General features: G+C 34.8%; 1 protein-coding gene across 4 annotated transcripts in view; it reads left to right on the forward strand.

The window, feature by feature from the left end:
- The window catches only part of SLC26A7 (solute carrier family 26 member 7), a 188660-nt gene that overhangs the window by 77027 nt on the left and 92793 nt on the right, over positions 1–18840 (forward strand). For all 4 annotated transcript variants that reach the window (NM_001282356.2, NM_001282357.2, NM_052832.4 and 1 more), the window contains 2 exons: positions 2614–2724; positions 9009–9181. In NM_001282356.2, the coding sequence (NP_001269285.1) occupies positions 2614–2724; positions 9009–9181 (284 nt within the window). The remainder of the gene's footprint in view (positions 1–2613; positions 2725–9008; positions 9182–18840) is intronic.

Consider the following 18840-nt stretch of genomic DNA (forward strand, 5'->3'; position numbering starts at 1 on the left):
CTGTGTCTATTCCTTGATACTTTTGTTGTTGTTGCTTTTGCTCTTATCTAAATTAGATTAAGTTACATAAGTATCTGTCGGCATTTGCAATATTTTTCCCCGAAATAGTAGCATTAGAGAGTGGTAATTTTGCTCTTATTTGAATTGAAAGCCATGTTTTATTACAGAGAAAGTAGAGATAATTCTGCTAATTTGTTAGCGACTTATTAAGATATTCACTATTTTGGGGGGACTTAACATATTTTAGCTTGTGTGAATGTGTGTGTATGTGTGTGCATATGCTCATGTATGAGACTATGTAACCAGTTTATATTATGAACCAGAATAATAAATGAATCAGAAAAAGGAAACTTTATCCAGCTGTCTCTCCTTTTTTTGAGGTACGTGTGTGGGGGCTGGTCTTGGGCCTTGTAGTTCTTATTTGTGGAAAGGATACTTGATGTTTTACAGTACTGTATATCTGAATTAGTTCATTCCTCCTGTGTTTTGGCCATTGTTCATTGCCACATTAAGAGAGAAATGGGTTTCCATTGAGGGCGAATGATATTGTTGTTTAAAGTAAAATTTCAATATCAGTGTAATATGAGATAAAGGAAATGTCTACATGATTTCTGGTCTTGGAGATTGTTGTAGAAGAATCTCCTGACATGATATTTTGTATTTAATTTACAGGTCTAGAGACCATTGAAAAATTAAACATATTTTACTTGATTATTCCCACTTTAATTTGATAGGAACATGAGATCTGGGAAAATCCAGTTTTTAAACTAAGTTTGTTATAGATTTTATTTGGGATAAACACAGAGAGAGATGACTGTTATTGTAATAAGGCAGACAGATAAGCAGGAGGTAGCTATTCACGCTATTCATATGGTAAGATAAGAGGGTCCAGCTGCTTCCAGCTTTATGTTACGTTTGCCTGTTGCAAGCAGAGCAGCCAAATGGGTCTACCTCTGAACAATTTTGATCCTGTCAGTATTGACCACATTTATCAGAATGTTGTGTCCATATGATTAATCCAGGAGCTTTTGCTAAATATGCCTTTCTTCTCCACCACTGATTTAGTCAATCTGTGATCTTATAAAGTGCGAGCTACATTTTTTTCTTGCTTAGGAACACTCTGCATTTCTGTCTCTTAATAGATAATTTTTATCAGGTAACTTATTCTGAAAAATGGATGAGAAAAAGTTGTTTTCTAGCTTTTCATATGGCTGATGTAAACAGTATATTTTACAAAGTTGCTTACACTAAAAATGCCAAAAGGTGCTTCTTGGTAGAGGTGGGGAAATATTTAGCCTGCCAATACTAATGAAGCTTCAAGACCTGCCCCTTAACACCATCCTTTCTACCTCTCACCATGCCTTTATGAAATTCTAGAACAGCCTCTGCCACTGACTCTTCTATAATCACTTTTATCGTATTTTCACCAGACTGTAGGGATACATTACCAGCAAACAAGCAACCCAGATGGTTTTTAAAAAGAAGAAAGGAGTGGTCATTGGTTAACTTTTCATGTATTTTAAATGCAGCAAAAGTGGCTTCTACTGCTTGAAAAATATCTGAAAGATAACTACGGAGCTTATTAAGAAGGGAATTTCATTTAATTTAAAAATGGTAAAAGCTCAACAGTAAATATTATTGATATTAGAATCAGACAGCCAGGCTTTATAGTGTGAATAATTACCTGCCTCATATTCAGAGACTCCAGAATCTAATGCCTCCTCCATTCTCAAGTCTCTTTGTAACATGTAAAGTCCTTTATGCCCAATTTAATTGAAACATTTGAATGAATTTGTCGTTCCAAGGATCAGCCACAATCAAGATAATTTTATGAACCCTTACTTGTAGATATTTTGGTCACGTTGAAACCACCAGTGGTCATTTAGACATGTCTAAGAAAATTTTCCATGTGCATGTATCATACCAACTATGTAGGCAATAGTCTTTACAAGGAATAAAAATTAACAGTTATGAATTATTTCTTACTCCTTGAGTAAGAAAAGTTGATTTCTTTTTCCACTCTAAGACACTGTACCTGAAATATAAGCCAAGGTCCCATTAGTTGGGAAGCACATGGGTTTATTCATCGGCCCTACTGCTGTGACACACAGTCTCAAGCTGGCTGTGCAGCTGGCCAACCAGCCAATGTTGAGTATGCGTCCTTTTTGTCCAGCCCTAGTTCCCCTTCCATTTCAGGCTTCTCATCTGTCAGGGGTAAATCTTCTAGTCTCGCCTATCTTACAGATGCTATTGTGCACATAAAATTATACATGTGAAATGCTTCTAAAATTTTAGTGTGCCTGGAGATATTTTACAATGTTACTGTCCAACCTACCATTCAACAGGAAGACTCTCTGAACCACTGTTTTTTGTAGACATCTCTGCAATCAAAGGAAAAAGCATTAGTCCAAAAATAATGGTTTTTGGAATCATAACAATGAACTAAAGCGTGAATTTTCTTTTATTTAGGGCAATAATGCTAGACTCTTGTTGAGCAAGTAGAATAAAGTATGATTCATTTTGTCTATAAGTAAACCAATACCTATTCTTTTGTGTAACAGACTGTGTCTTGGGGTTATAAGGTGGTTTTAATTACCCTAGTCTTCTTCACAGGATTGGCCTTTGCTGTTCTCTCATCTGTGCACCCAGTGTTTGGTTTATATGGGTCTCTGTTTCCTGCCATAATTTATGCCATATTTGGAATGGGACATCATGTTGCCACAGGTAATAATTCCTATGTTTATGCTTCTAATGTTACTCGCAAAAAAGACTTAGTGATTATTACTGATTACATCTCCTTAGCAGTGTTAATGTCACTGCTGAAAACCACAGCAAATATTAGAGGAAGATATTTACTCTCCATGCATCAGATAGTCAATATACACTGTGGTTTATTGCTATATTACTGTGTAGCCAAGGTAATTGCTAAGGATTCTTTGCATTTTTGAGTTGCAAAGATTCCACAAAAGAAGGGAGATGGGGCGTGGTAGTACACGCCTGTAGTCCCAGCTACTCGGGAGGCTGAGGCAGGAGAATCGCTTGAACCTGGGAGGTGGAGGTTGCAGTGAGCTGAAATTGCGCCACTGCGCTGCAGCCTGAGTGACAGAGCGAGACTCTGTCTCAAGAAAAAAAAAAAAGGAAGGGAAATGTTCTGAATTTACAATGAAATGAGAGAAAGTAAGTACTTGGGAGGTAAGACTACATAAAATATAGCTACTCAAAAAACAGTGAAAAATATTTTACATGTATTTGATATGTGGACTAAATGATGATCTTTAGGTTTATTCCAGGCTAGTTTATACAATGCTCTTTACTTGGTGTAACTCTTACCTTACCTACCTCTATATTACCAAAGAAAATATGAGGGGTGATTTGGTATTAGATAAACCTGGGTGCATATCTTATTTGTTGTTTGCTATTTACATGGTCTTAGGCAAAATTTTAAGCTCCATTGCTGCTTTCTTGATAGCAAAATTACCTTCCAAATTCTAATGATTATAGTGAGAACTAGATAATTGATATACAGTGCCTAATTTAATACTTGCTACATAATAAGATTTAATAAAGTTAGCTATTATTATTATTACAAAAATGGTATCTTAGTCTTAACTATTAAGGAAATAATAAAATAATTTTAACTAAAAATATCTATAGAGACATTTCTATTTATTTGGGGATTACATGATCTCAGCCTCTAAGTAATAATATTTCTTGACCATTTCTTCAATGGTCATTTTGTGTTATTGATTGTATCAGTTTTCTGTTGCTGCTGTAACAAATTACCATAAGTTTGGTGCTTAGAACAAGATAAAGGTATTATTCTACAGTTCTGCAGCTCAGAAGTCTGAAATGATATTCACAGGACTAAAACTAAGGTGTCAGCAGGGCTGTGTTTCTTTCTTGGGGGCTCTAGGGGCAATCCATTTTCTTGACTTTTCTAGTTTCTAGAGGCTTCCTGCATTCTTTGGCTCATGGACCTTTCAACCATGCGATATGTAAACATGCAGTATCGCATCTTCAAATTCTCTTTGACTCTGATCTTTTGCCTCCATTTTCCATGTTTAAAGGACACTTGTGATTACATTGGGCACACCTGGATAATCCAGGCTGCTCTTCTTATTTTAAGATCAGCTGCTTGGCAACTTTAATTTCATCTGCAATGTTAATTCTCTCTTACCATATAGCATAACATACTCACAGGTTCTGGGGATTAGGATGGGAACATATTTGAGAGGTCATAATTCTGCCTACTACATTGATACACATATTTTCTGTTAACATAACATTTTATTTATGTAGATTTGGCTTTTTAAATCAATTAATTTTGTTATGAGGGAAGGAACAACACTTATCAATCACTTACAACATTTCTGCCTAAAGTGTGGCTCATGAACCAGCAGGTTCAGCATTATGTAGGAGCTTGTTAAAAGTGCAAAGCCTTTATTTCCATCTCAGGCCTACTGAATTAGAGTCAGCACTTTCATAAGATCTCTGTTTTTATTTAATCTGTAGGTAATATAGTATATATATGTGTTTATATGTTTATGCATATTTGTGTACGTATATATATTTAAGTTTGAGAACCATGGATGTTCTATTTATTAGGTAATTTATTAAGAGCTTTACATATGTTATTTTATTTTGTTCTAGCATAAGCCTTTTAAATAGATATTATTACCTTTACATTGCACGTGAAAAGAAAACACTAAAATTCAGAAAGTTTCTGTGAGATCACAGATTAAAAGTCACAGGTGCATGGATTGCAACCCAGGTGCGACCAAATCTAAAGCACAAGCTTTTAACTTTACAACTCACTGTTCAAGAATAAGCTTTTCTTTTGTATTGATGCAAAAAAGAGAAAAGCACAATAATTAATTATAAATTATTAAAGCCTATTTTTTCAATTATCTTGCTTCCTAATTTCCTAACGATTTCTTTTCATTTTTCAAAACATTTAAACATATCCTTAGCAATAAAAAAGTTGTTTTAATACTAACCTCTAAAAACATTTTCTCTGTTAAACCCAAGATAAAAGAAAAAGGCAAAACAAGTTTGTCCAATATACCATAATTGCTTTAAGAAAACAAAAATACACAATTTGAACATACTTAAATACGTACTTACACAAAATATTTGATGTCCTAAGGAATCACTGTAAACATTTTACAGATATTTAACTGAATTACTTTGAAATTACCATTTACATAAGACTCTATATTTAACAAATTTTTAACAGCTGTCAGAATCTTATAGTCTACTTGATAAATAATATGCATTTCAAAATACACATAATTTACAGCCTTAACTGTAGTCATTCAACATTAAAGCCGGAGACTAATTCTGATTTCCCTTCTGTTAAGTCGAATGAGCTACCACACAATAAATGCTAGAGACATTTTATTTCTGCATTTGTACTTCACCAAAGACAGTCAGCTGGGCTTTCCTATTAGTTTTTTATCCCAGTATTTAGGATTCTTTGGGTCATTAAAAAATAAATGATAGGCTGGGTGCGGTGGCTCACACCTGTAGTCCCAGCCCTTTGGGAGGCCGAAGCAGGCAGATCACAAGGTCAGGAGATCAAGATCATCCTGGCTAACACGGTGAAACCCTGTCTGTACTAAAAATACAAAAAATTAGCTGGACGTGGTGGCGGGCACCTGTAGTCCCAGCTACTCAGGAGGCTGAGGCGGGGAGAATGGTGTGAACCCGGGAGGCAGAGCTTGCAGTGAGCCGAGATGGCGCCACTGCACTCCAGCCTGGGCGAGAGTGCGAGACTCTGTCTCAAAAAAAAAAAAAAAAGAAGATAATTTTCCCTTATTTTGCAACATATATATGTCAGGGAAAATAGACTAATTATGTTTTGACCTTCCTTTAATCTTGGACATAGGGACTGAGTGTCACCAATAAGTTCCTGCAAATTAATATACAGAACTTACTTCTCTTTAAAATAATTTAATTTTGATGCATATGCATCCCACTTCCACAGTATTATTAAGATATTGATGTTACTTTCATGAAGAAAAATTACTTTATTTGGGATTTTGCCTTCAATTTAGATGGCTGGAATGCAATGCTGACTTACTAAATACAATAATAAATTATGTTAGAGGCATCTTTAAAAGTAAACAATTCATAAAATCAGAGTATAAAGACATGAAACATGCTGTTTTGCTCAACAATGTGAACTTTCTTATTTTAATTTAAAATAGGTTTTTTTTTTAAAAAAAGGAATAAATCAGTTGATTACTTTTTGTGGCTTGCAAAGAACATATATTGGAATAAATACACAACAGTAAAAAACCTGGGTATTAATCCAATGGCAACAGCATTGTTGTAGGAACCAATGTGAGACAATTGGATAATCTTAATTTTTCTCTAAATTAGGGAAATTTATTTAAAGAGCAAAGTTTAACAATTTAGAGAGGATATTGTGGAGACTATATAAGGCACTTTTCAGAAGCAAAAATAAACAATTATTTACTGATGGATTATAATATGATAGGACTTGAGACAGTGTTTTTTTAAAATATGAAATCTCATTTATTCTCTATCAAAATTTTGTAATAGGTATTTTATCATCATTTTACAAATAAGGAAGCTGAGAGAGGTTAGGTAACTTGACCAAGATCAGAGGTTCATATTAAGTAGAGCTGGGATTCGAACTTGGGTCTGTTTAACTCTAGGGCTCATATTCACTTCCTATGAGACCCTGTGACCCACAGTACTGTTGAGCTATCAGGTAGAAGTAGTGGTATATAAGGGTACCACTAATAGGCTGAAAGCCTAACCAGGGTAAAATGTTGAGCAAATGAGGCAAAGATAGAGAATTAGTAGAGAGGAGACAAAGACAAAGAAGAGACCTATAAATAGATAATATAGAATGTCATCCACAACAGCCACACATATTCACTGGCAGTCCCACTTCCCTTGATTGGCCTTCATTATCTCAGAAACAGCAAAGCATTATCCTTGCTAAAGAAGCAGTACTCCCATGTCCACATTGGCGTGGTGGATATGCCTGTACCCATTGCTGGCAAGTCCTCTCTCTGGAGGTGTTCTTGAAATATGACTCACACGCAGGTGAAGCTTCCTTTTGTTCCCCTAACAAAGCCTTTTAGATGGCTTTCTCTTTTACTGTTCGATTCCTTCCCATCTTCCTCCAAATCCCAGGAAAAACAGGCCTAAATTAAAAAATTAACTCATCTATATGTTTTTAAAAAATTCTGTAGTCAATTTGTTCAGTGGCTTTTGTACAAAACATTTTGCTCTGTGCTCTAGGAGATTTAGACACCAAAAGACAAACCTCTTTACTCTCAGAAGTATCTGATTTGATCTCCCGAGCATCGTGTTGTAATATAACCTCGGAAATATGTCCTATCAAGACCAGATTCTATGGTGAATATTCTCTACTTGGTGTTTCCCATCCTGGGTGCTAGAATCTCATTTCTAATAATCAGTTATATTACATTAGTTTCTTGATGTACTCTTAATTTAGTATTTTGTGATAAGGACAGTGGTCATGATTTATTGATGATTTATTGAGAATGACTTATCTCACTAAAAGAATGTTATTCAATCTGCTGTCTGTATTTATGTACCACCAACTCTATGGAACAGAGAAAAACATACAATGATAGACCATAACAGAGCATTCTGACTTTAGTCTTATTAAAAATTATATGAATAGCTACCATTTATCAGGTGTTAACTACATGTCATCTTCTATGATATGTGCTATATTACATTATTTAAGCCTCATAACAATCCCATTGGGTGAGGAATGCTGTTTATAGACAAAAACATTGAGGTGACAGTTCTGGGATTTTAGGCCAGGTTTTTTGGAGGCTACAATCATCATGTTTTTCTGAATCCATAGCATGTACTGCCTCTCTTATCTAGTAAGACCAAGTATTGGCTGTGTTGAATTTCCATTGAGACCTGTTTCTGTTTGACTCATGTCTCTCTTGCCTTATGCTGCTTTGTGCATGGTTTGTGTTGGGTTGTCTACATGTTGAAAAGGCCCTTTTCATGAAATCTCACTTATGACCAGAAGCAAAGTAAGATCTTCAAGTAATGAGAGCAAATGTTTGCACAATGCTGCAGTTTGTTTCTATAACCCAAATTTGCCAACGCCTCTTTGAGAGAATCAGCATTTCCATGTTCACCAGGCTGCATTCTCAGGCATGCTGTGCCAAGATGAGAGGCTTCAGAACTCTTGACAGGAAGAGGGGAACACACTGAAAATGGTCCCACAAATGTGCAAGGCCATGGCAATTCTTGGAAAATAACACCAAGCCTTATCTAACAACAGTAGACAGAAATGGTATGTTTAATTATTTTATGGGCCACAATATGTTGTTATACAATAATAAAAATATACTCTGCTATGAGACCACAGAGGGTGGAAAGATTAAGCCTAGTTGGGAGGATCTGGGATGGACCCTTATTAGATATGGGATTTGAGCCAGACCTTGAAAAACAAATAGGATTTGCACAGGTAGAATGAAGAAGCAAGCATTTCAGGGAAAAAGCTGAATTTACTGAGGTCTTCATACCTATCATCTCATTTATACTCCCCTTAAATACTGAAATGTAGGCATTATTACTCCCATTTTATGGATAAGACCATTTATATCCAGTGTAATGTGCTTTAGGTCACATTATTGGTAAATTGAGTGGTTGAATTTAAATCCAGGCCGTAATCTTATTTCCTGTACCAGGACATTCTTTATGCCAATCTGCAGAGAGGTGGGAAAATGTCTGAACCAGGAGGGAATAGCAAATAGATGAGTGGCTGTACGTTGAATGAATAAGCATATATGGAGGTAAGTTTCCATTTCATCCATGGAGAGAGGTGAAGAGTGGAGAAGCAAGGCCACAGAGGAGGGGACAGTGTTTCTAATAGATCTGTTTGGTTTCACAATGTAGCTTCGACAGAATCCCACAATTTTTATTGAGCCTTTAAATCAAATTACTAATAGAAGATTCCCCACACCACTTGGTTTCAGGCACCTTTGCCTTGACATCCTTAATATCAGCCAACGCCGTGGAACGGATTGTCCCTCAGAACATGCAGAATCTCACCACACAGAGTAACACAAGCGTGCTGGGCTTATCCGACTTTGAAATGCAAAGGATCCACGTTGCTGCAGCAGTTTCCTTCTTGGGAGGTGTGATTCAGGTAAGTGATACTGACACTTGAGCACAAAGAAAGGGACACAGCGGCACAGGGAAGGCAGCTGGTGTTTTATTTTTATTCTTGTTCATGAATTTGTCTTTATAGGTGGATAAAGGCCTGATGTGTTTTATCATTATGGAAATGCTGTTTAGAGTCATTACTCTATAAATGCTGGTTGAATGAATGAACTAGAATCAATAAATTGAAGTTACACAGAAACAGTTTTTGGTCTTTTAAGAATGAACTTTCTAAAAAATGTTTCAGAAAATGGAATGAGCTTCCTTGTAAGGCAATGAGGCAATCCCTGTGTCCACACAGTGACTAGGTCGTCACTGTAAGGGAATGTTATAGGAAAAACTCCTGCAATAGGAAGGAGATGTGACCAGATCTCTAGTGTCCTTCCCAGTTTTCAGATTTTATGATGTTATTGCTTACATCAGTAACAAATGGTGCTTGGTTTATGCTATAGGTTTGCTGATCTGAGGTCACTGGACTCAGATCTGTACCACCAGCATCATGTTGCTGCCAAGATTGCTACAGTCTATTTCTTCAAAATATCAGAATATGTAATTTGATGTTTCTAATCAGTCGTCAAAATTTGAAAGCTCAGAGGTGACTATAAAATAAATGTAGACAGGCACTGAATATTAGACATGGAATTGCCTGTTTGATAGCCATTTTTGCTTAGTCTCTCATGGTCAACTGAATTATGTGTGCATAAACTTCTTGGGTGGCTGTGTTTTGGGTTGGGAGGCTCTATTTTACACCGTAACATTATTTACAAGGTCAAAGATCTTGTAAACACCAAGAAGGGCGAAAAATAGTTGATGATTGGCTGGAATGATGGTAAGAGAAAACATGTGACCTAAAAGAAAGGAAGCATTAAAATTCTTAGAGTTACATTGCCTTCTAGCTAGGTGAAACGGCCGAAAGAATTAAGGATGTAAAATGAAATGAGAATAAGAACTCATGTCTTCATAGTCCTTGAAAGAAATAGACCATTTGAGTGGCAGCTCATTTGCTTAGGAGACTGACCAGACTGGTGGACCAATCAGTATTTTCTATGGCTTGTATCTGAGCTATCATAAAATAAAAATTAGTTGCCTGGGTACCCTGTAACTTTCAGTTTATTTTTCCAACCATGGATGTCAGCCTATTCTGAGGCTTGCACAGACAGGCTTAGTGGCTTTTCCTCCTTGCCTGGCCTGTATGAGGCTCTCTGAGATCTGTCATCTATCCCCATCTCAGAAATAATCAGCCCTGTGAACTGGTAGATCAAACATGGATATATTGCCTTGGATTTGGCATAGGTTTTCCTTAATTTCTATTCATTTAAAATAAAAAATCTTTGTATTAACATTGCAAAGATAATATTGTGTCTGTTTTCTGTCCCATTATTTTTTCATTCATATTTCTTTTTGAATTCATGGTTTTTACTAGAGTTGGATATTCTCTTACTCTACAAAGCATGAAACAAGTAGTTTTAGGTTGTTTAATAGTGTAGTATTAGTTTTAGGTATATATTAGTATAGTAAAAATCTAAGAGTATACATAATTAGCGGTAAGACCTGGCAACCTTCTGCTTAGTCTCATTTTAACCATCTTCTGAAAGTTTGAAACAATCATCAGGTATTCTGTTATTATCTAGTATATTTGGATTATGACTTAAAATGATAACATATAAAAGTCAAAGCCAGGATTCTAACAACATAAAAAATATATGTCTCATTTCCCCGAATGAAACTCCCTAGAATTATAAGAGCAAAGCAGAATATTATTAAAGATAATAAAAATAATTTTGTTTTCATGGCCTTTTATTACATGTAAAATCTGATTCAGAGAGTTGCATATTTTCTCTTATAACTTCATCAAGCATCTGCTTTTCTTCCTCTTTAGCTCTGATCTTGGATATGTGACTTACGTTTTAGCCAATTTTTAAGCAGATGGCTGGACTTTATTTGACCTCCAAACTCTTCTTTCCATTGTCAACTAGAAACTTCAAGAGTTCTGCATCTTTAGGATTTAGCTGCTCAGTCATTTTTCCTTTTATTCCTTCAGATTTGAAACCCACTGAATCAAAGTATCCAGTTTCTACAAACATATGAAGTGTGTGTTTGTCTTGTTTTATTTATTTATTTGTGTATTGTTTTGCTCTTGCTTGCATATTATTTAGTTTCAGGTTGATTTTTTTCTCTCTGAAGATCCAGCTGACAGAATTATTTAGGTTAATAAGATTGTATTGTTAAAGTGTCTGAAACAATCATGTCTGATCTGATTCACAGTTAGAAATGCTCTCACCTGCAAGGAACAGAGAACCCTCCTATCGGAGGCTTACACCATAAAGATATTTATTGCTTCTTGTATTACAGGAAGTTATAGAAGTAAGTTCTGGGGGGGCTTTGGTGTCTGGCAACACATTCAATTGATGAACTAATCAGCTTTCTGTTATTACATAATAAGGGCTCCATGACTTATTAGGTGTGTTTTCTTTTTGCCTTCTCTTCTTGTAACTGATAAGTAAGTTTCCCCCACTAAAGTGTAGCTTGTATTTGTCTAAATGTTCCCTACACACAACTCTTTCTCCACTTCTTTACTTGACTTATATTTTTAACATTATTTTAATGATTCTAGTATGTCTATCTCTTCAATTTTAACTTATGCATTTTTTAGAAGAAAGTATAGCATAGAACAATAAATTTCTGATTTTAGTTTGCTCTTTGCCTTTTTTTGCTTTTCCTCCAATGTCTTGTATGTCTATAATATTTTAGTTTGTTTTCTATGTAAGACATTACTTAGAGAACAAAGTTCTTGAGGGTATTAATACGATCTTCAAGCATGTTAAAGTCATCATTGTACCTAGCATAGAACTCTACATGGTAGATTCTCAGAAAACTTGTTGAATTAAAAAATGAATTATCTATTCAGGAACTTGAAAACCAAGAAACATAATGCTAGGTAATAATGATTTTAAAATATAAACTGAGTCTGATGTTTGTTAATTTTAATAATTATTATAGCAAGATGGGACTGTAAAAGAAAGGCACACTCAGAACTGTCACTTCCCTTCCCTAATGCTGCTATGTATGTGTATATCTGGATTTTCATTTTGTTAGGAACATCTCTTCAAGATGAATTCCTAGAATGAGATTACTGGGTCAAAAGGTAAATTCAAAACAAAAACAAATGTAGTTATGTTAGACATTGTTAAATTCCCTTCCGAAGGGGTTGTGTCAGTTTACATTCCCATAGCAGTGTATGAGAGTGCCTCAGCCTTACCAACAGAATGTGTTCTCAGCCTTTTGAACTTTAGCCAAGCAGGTGAAAAGTAGTATTCAAGGTAATTTGAGTTTCTTTAATTATGAGTGAGGTTCAACATCTTTTCATATGTTTAAGATCATTTTGTGCTAATTTTGTGAATTGTCTATTTATATTTGTCTCATTTTTCCATCAGAGTTTTAGATTTTTTTCTCTTCAAATTTTAAGAGTTCTTTATATATTATGGATATTAGCCCTTTTTCTGTGATAGATGTTGAAAGTATTTCCTTCTAATTTGGCAGTTGTACTTTGACTTTATTTTACTATGCAAATTTAAAAAATTGTGTTGTCAAATTTATCAGTCGTTTCTTTTACTGCCCATTATTTTGAGTCATTGTTAGCTTTTTTCAACACTGAGTTTATGGAGGAAGTCACCATATTTTTTTTCTAGACTTCCATGATTTATTTTTTTTCTTTTTATATATACATTCCTGATAATTGTGGAGTTTATGCTTGTGAGTGGTGTGTGATATGGATGTAATTTTATTTTTTTCTAAGTTGCTGCCTACTTGTGCCAACAACATTTATTAAAAAGCCCATCTTTACCTCTATAACTTAAGATGCCACCATTATCATTTCCATATGTACTTATATCAATTTTGGGACTTTCTTTGCTATTCTACTGCCCTTTAACTCTATTCTTGTGACTGTAGCACCCTGTTTTATGGAGACTTTATAGAATGGTTTAATGTAGGGTAGGACTAGTCAAGCTTTGTATTTTTAATTTTTGTGTGTATTCTTGGCTATTCTTGCATGTTTGTTTTCCTTATGAATTTCAGCACCAACTTGCATTGGAGGAAAAGCAAAAAAAGGCAAAGAGCAAACTAAAATCAGAAATTTATTGTTCTATGCTATGCTTTCTTCTAAAAAGTGCGTAAGTTAAAATTAAAGAGATAGACATACTAGAATCATTAAAATAATGTTAAAAAATATAAGTCAAGTAAAGAAGTGGAGAAAGAGTTGTGTGTGGGGAACATTAGACAAATACAAGCTACACTTCAGGGGGAGAAACTTCCTTGTATAAAAAGAAACTTGCTGATACTTTTATTGGGATTGTGTTAAACTGACATCTTTATGATGTTGATTTGTCCTGTCCAAGAACAGAGGATGCCTTTCATTTTGTTCAAATCTAATTTTGTGTTTTTCAGAGTGTTTTAAAATTTTCCTCCTACAGGTTTTGCACATTTTTGTCAAGTTTATTCCCAAGGATTTAATCTTCTTTGTTGCTATTATAAGTGGAGTTTTCTTTACCATTATGTCCTCTGGCTGGCTATTGTTTGTGTCTTTGAAAGCTATTGATTTTTGCGTGTTAATTTTGAATCCTGATATCTTACTGAATTCTTTTAGTATTTGAATTAGTTTTATTGTTCATTAATTTGCTAGAATTTTTTTTTTTTTTTGAGACGGAGTCTTGCTCTGTCACCCAGGCTGGAGTGCAGGGGCGCGATCTCGGCTCACTGCAAGCTCCGCCTCCCGGGTTCACGCCATTCTCCTGCCTCAGCCTCCCAAGTAGCTGGGACTACAGGCGCCCGCCACTACGCCCGGCTAATTTTTTGTATTTTTAGTAGAGACGGGGTTTCACCGTTATAGCCGGGATGGTCTCGATCTCCTGACCTCGTGATCCGCCCGCCTCGGCCTCCCAAAGTGCTGGGATTACAGGCGTGAGCCACCGCGCCCGGCCAGAGATGTTTTTACTTCTTTACAAAATCATATGACTGGTGATTTCTCTAATCCAATTGCTTTGGGTTTTGCAACCTCTATTATAACATTAGGTAATTGTGAAAACAGTGGGCATTCTTGCCCTTTCATGAGCTTACTTATAATGCTATTAACATCTCCACAAATTATAATGCAGTCCTCATGAATAAAGTTTATATGTCTTGTCATGTTAAGAAATTATAAATTGTGTCCTATTTTGTGTTTTTAATAGAAACTAGAAAAAATGTTGAATATTGCTGAAGCCTCTTCAGCATCTATAGAAATAATCTTACTTTTATTCTCTCAAAACTATCATTTATTATGTTAATAGATTCCCTAATATTGAACCAACTTTAAATTGCAAGAATAAATTCCAGTTGGTCACGGTCTATTTTATTCTTAATGTGGTACTGGATTCTGTTGATTAATTTTCTTCTTTAGTATTTTGCATCATTTTTCTTTAGTGGTACTGGACTGTAGTTTTCTTTCTTGTGCTGTCTTTATCAGGTCTAAGTCTCAATGTTTTACTTTCTTCTTAACGTCCCTTCTCAATGCTTTTCAGCATGTATAGCACTTCTGGAGCATCTAGTACTGGAGGTTTTGTAGAATTCCTCTTTAAAATAATGTTGCCTGGTGCTCTTTTGTAAGATAATTTCTTGATGATCCTCTGCAGTTTCTTTTACAAAAATTGGTCAGTTTAAGCAGCCTAGCTCTAAAACAACCAGAATTGGAAATCTTTATTTTCTTGGAAAATTATATTTTTATCTATCTTTTCAAATGTATTTACATGTAGGTCTTTAAAGTAGTCTGTTGTAATTTTAAAAAAATTTATTGTTTCAATGTTTTACCCTTTGATATTTTCTATTTTTATATTTGTGCTTTTTCCTTTGTTCTTGATCCAGGCAGCTAGTGGTTTTTCTATTTTGTTACTTTTTTAAGAAAACCAGGATTTTGAAATAGTATGTCTACTTTTTTCCTATTTCTATCTCTGCTTTTATCTTTATTATTTCCTTCAATTTACCATTATTTTATTGTTTGGTTGTTGCTCTTCTTCTATTTTTTCCATCTAGGAATTCAATTTACTTGTTATTTTTTTTTCATTTTTATTGATAAAAGCACATAGTGCTATGAATTTTCCTATGCTAATTGTTTGAAATGTATTCTGTTGATTTTTATATATACTGTGTTTTGCTTCAATATTTTTTAGGAATAAAAATTCTGTGATTTCAGTTTGTATTTCCTCCTTTACCCAAAGATTAAGAGAAGAGTTTTTAATTTTAGGTGGGTGAGTCTTTTTGCTTTTCAGTTTTGTCAATAATTTCTAGTGTTATTTCATTGCAGTCAGGGAGTATTGTTTATAATAGTTTATGTTACCTAATTTACTAACATTTTCCTTCTAACCTACTGTATAATCATTTTTTTGTGAGTGTTTCATGAGCACTTGAGAAAAAATATATAGCCTTGATTATCAGAGTGTAAAGATCAGTATATAGCTATTAGGTTCTTCCTTGTTGATTATGATTATTCACTTTTTTGCCTTTTTGATTTTTTTTGCACTGACTGAGAAAGGTGTGTTCATTACTGTAGGCTGCCTTAACTAGAATAATGGAATTGTAGTGGTTTAATTATCTTTTAGGTAAGCTATATATGTTTGTGTCATAAACATAAGACCATCCAATGTCTCTCACTCATTGGCCTTCAGACAAAATAAATAATTTCTGTTTCTCTTCTCTGTTACCATTTGATTTATATTGCTAGTATAAACAAAGTGCACTTATACAACCATAATAATGTAATGTGATAGTTTCTGTGTTGTACATTAGAATACGGGCTTTTTAACAACAGCATTATTGAGGTATAATTGCCATGCAATAAATTTTACATATTTAGAATGTACAATTTGATCTTTTGACAGATGTATATATTCATGAACCCATCATCAAGACAATAAAAATATCTGTAATTTCACAAAATTTTTTCTTGACCATTGTAATCCCACTCCGTTAGCTCCCCTCCTCACACACTGATCTGCTTTTTGTCACTATGAGTTAGTTTGCATTTTCTAGAATTTTATAAAAATGAATGTAATGTCCCTTCCCCTTCTCTTTTTTTTTTTTTTTTGGTCTGGTTTCTTTCACTCAGCAAAACTTTATTGCTGTTTATATTGTAGATTTATTGCCATGGTTTTATAACAGTAGGAACTCTTGTGATTAGGACTCATGCAATTTCTGACAGTTGATAATGCAGTGACTGAATTGACTGGTATGATAATCTTATTGTTTCCAGTTCTACCATCTATTTCTAAGGCACGTTGTCTCATAAGAAAGTCTTTTAGTGGAATTGATGCAGTTTTGTACTATTAGTATTACTTTACACAAGGAAAAGACAATTTTTCTAGCTAAAAACAGTAAAAACAGTAGCAGCCAAGAAAGGAATTGCTAGCACACTCACAGTAATGAAATGCTAGTTTTAAAATGCCAGTATCAATTAGCATTTCTGCTGGGGACACAAACACATAATAAAAGCCAATGCACTTTAAAAACCATTGTTATCTTCTCCCTGTAGCTTTTATTATTCCCTGTGATGGACAATTTGCATATTTGTTTTTCCAAGAGCTTTTCCAAGAGGGGTCTGGGATTGTCCCTTGCCCATTCACCTCTGGAAATTTTCCCAAGCTCTACTTTTCTGAAGAAGCCATAGGACAAGATTTCTGCCATGGGGAAATCTAGTTTGTCTTTTTGATCTTTCTTGCACTGAGAAAGGTGTATTCATTACTGTAGGCTGCCTTCACTAGAATAATGCCATTGTAGTGGTTTGAGTATCTTTTAGTTAAGTTATATATGTTTGTGTCATAAATATATATTCAACAATTATAAAAGTGTGGGTGTTTAGTGACAAAGCCTTGTATTATGATACTAGTGCATTCTGGAGACACATGGTCTTATGTCTTCAAGGATGATAAAAAGACAACTGTAAGCTAAATAGGAGATTCTTCAATTACTTTTGGTGTTGTGCTAAACATTTTCTTGCAAGTTTTAAATAAGAGGATCAGGAGTATAGAAGGGACACAAGATATAAAACTAGTTTATACTGCCTATTCAACACATCGTACTTACTCTTCTCAGAAACATCATCAACTTTCTTCTTTTGTAATGCAGGAGGAGGACAATCTGAAATCTCTTTTGATAATGTTTCACTGTTTTACAACCATTACAGCAGAAAGTCATTACTCTGTTTAATCTAAATCTTTCCATCTGTGTTTGTACCTGGCAAAGCTAAGAAGTAATAAACTTAACCAAGTTAGAATTATAACATTCTTAAAATTATAAAAAACTTTCCTTATGTACAAAAATAATTATATTTATTAGCCTAGTATTTGACAAGCTCTGTTCTAAGCTTACTACATGTATTCATATATTCAATCCTCATTGACATTTTAGGAAAAATTATTTAGGAATAATTCCCTATTATACAGATAAAGATACTGAAGATAAACTGACTGATATAGTTTGGCTCTGTGTTGCCACCCAAATCTCATGTTGGATTATTATAATCCCCAGTGTTAGGAGAGGAACCTGGTGGGAAGTGATTGGATCATGGGGGTGGGTTATTCCCTTGCTGTTCCTGTGATAGTGAGTTCCCATGAGATTTGATTGTTTAAAAGTGTGTGGCACTTCCTCCTTCTTTCTATCTCTCTCCTGCCACCATGTGAAGACATGCTTGCTTCCCCTTTGCCCTTTTGCCATGATTGTCAGTTTCCTGAGGCATCCTCAGCCATACTACCTGTGCAGCCTGTGGAACTGTGAGTCAACTAAACTTCTTTTCTTTATAAATTACCCAGTCTCAGGTAGTTCTTTATAGCAATGTGAGAACAGACTAATAGAGTGACTTATTTAGAATCTTGTAATTAGGAATTAACACAGTAGGAGTCAGACTCCAGTATACACTTCCTTAACTGCTGCTATGCAGCTTTCTAAACTAGTGTTGACAAAGGAAGCAAGGAAACTTAATCCATCTACTTCTAGGGCCAGGCATTGTTCTAGCTCTTTCCCACATTTTACCTCATTAATAATAGTGGCAGCATGTGTACTGGGCATGTGTCATGTGGCAGAACAATGTTCTTGGCTCCACAACAGTGTGCCTGTCATTCTCTAGGCATGCCAGGCCCCTTCTCATGCTGCTTGTATGACTCCTCTGTGTCTTTCAAGGTTCAGCTCAAACATAATCATCTCAGAGAAGCCTTCCCTGGATCTCTGGACATACTTATATGTGATTCCTCTTACTGTTCCTGTAAGACATTGCTCATGTCCTACCTCATAGGGCTTCTGAATCTACCAGGAAATATTTTTTACACATTTCCCTCCTTTTCTAGACTGTGAGTCTCTATAGAACAGAGACTATTTGTCTCTATAATTCCAACAGCTGGTACTTAATAAATGTGAGTTGATTAAATTGAAGAGGAAAAAGGTCAGTTAAATGTTAGTGGCATCACTATGTTAAATAACCAAAATTAAATTGAGTTTTTTTTTTCATCCTTCACCGGAAGATAGGGAATGTGTCTGTATCTGTTTAAATTGTAAAACAGTTCTTGATAAACAAATAGTAATAAACTTATACTTCTCTAATTTGCTCATGGTTATTTTGTTAGA

Source organism: Homo sapiens, chromosome 8 (genome assembly GCF_000001405.40).
Source record: "Homo sapiens chromosome 8, GRCh38.p14 Primary Assembly".
NCBI lineage: Eukaryota > Metazoa > Chordata > Mammalia > Primates > Hominidae > Homo > Homo sapiens.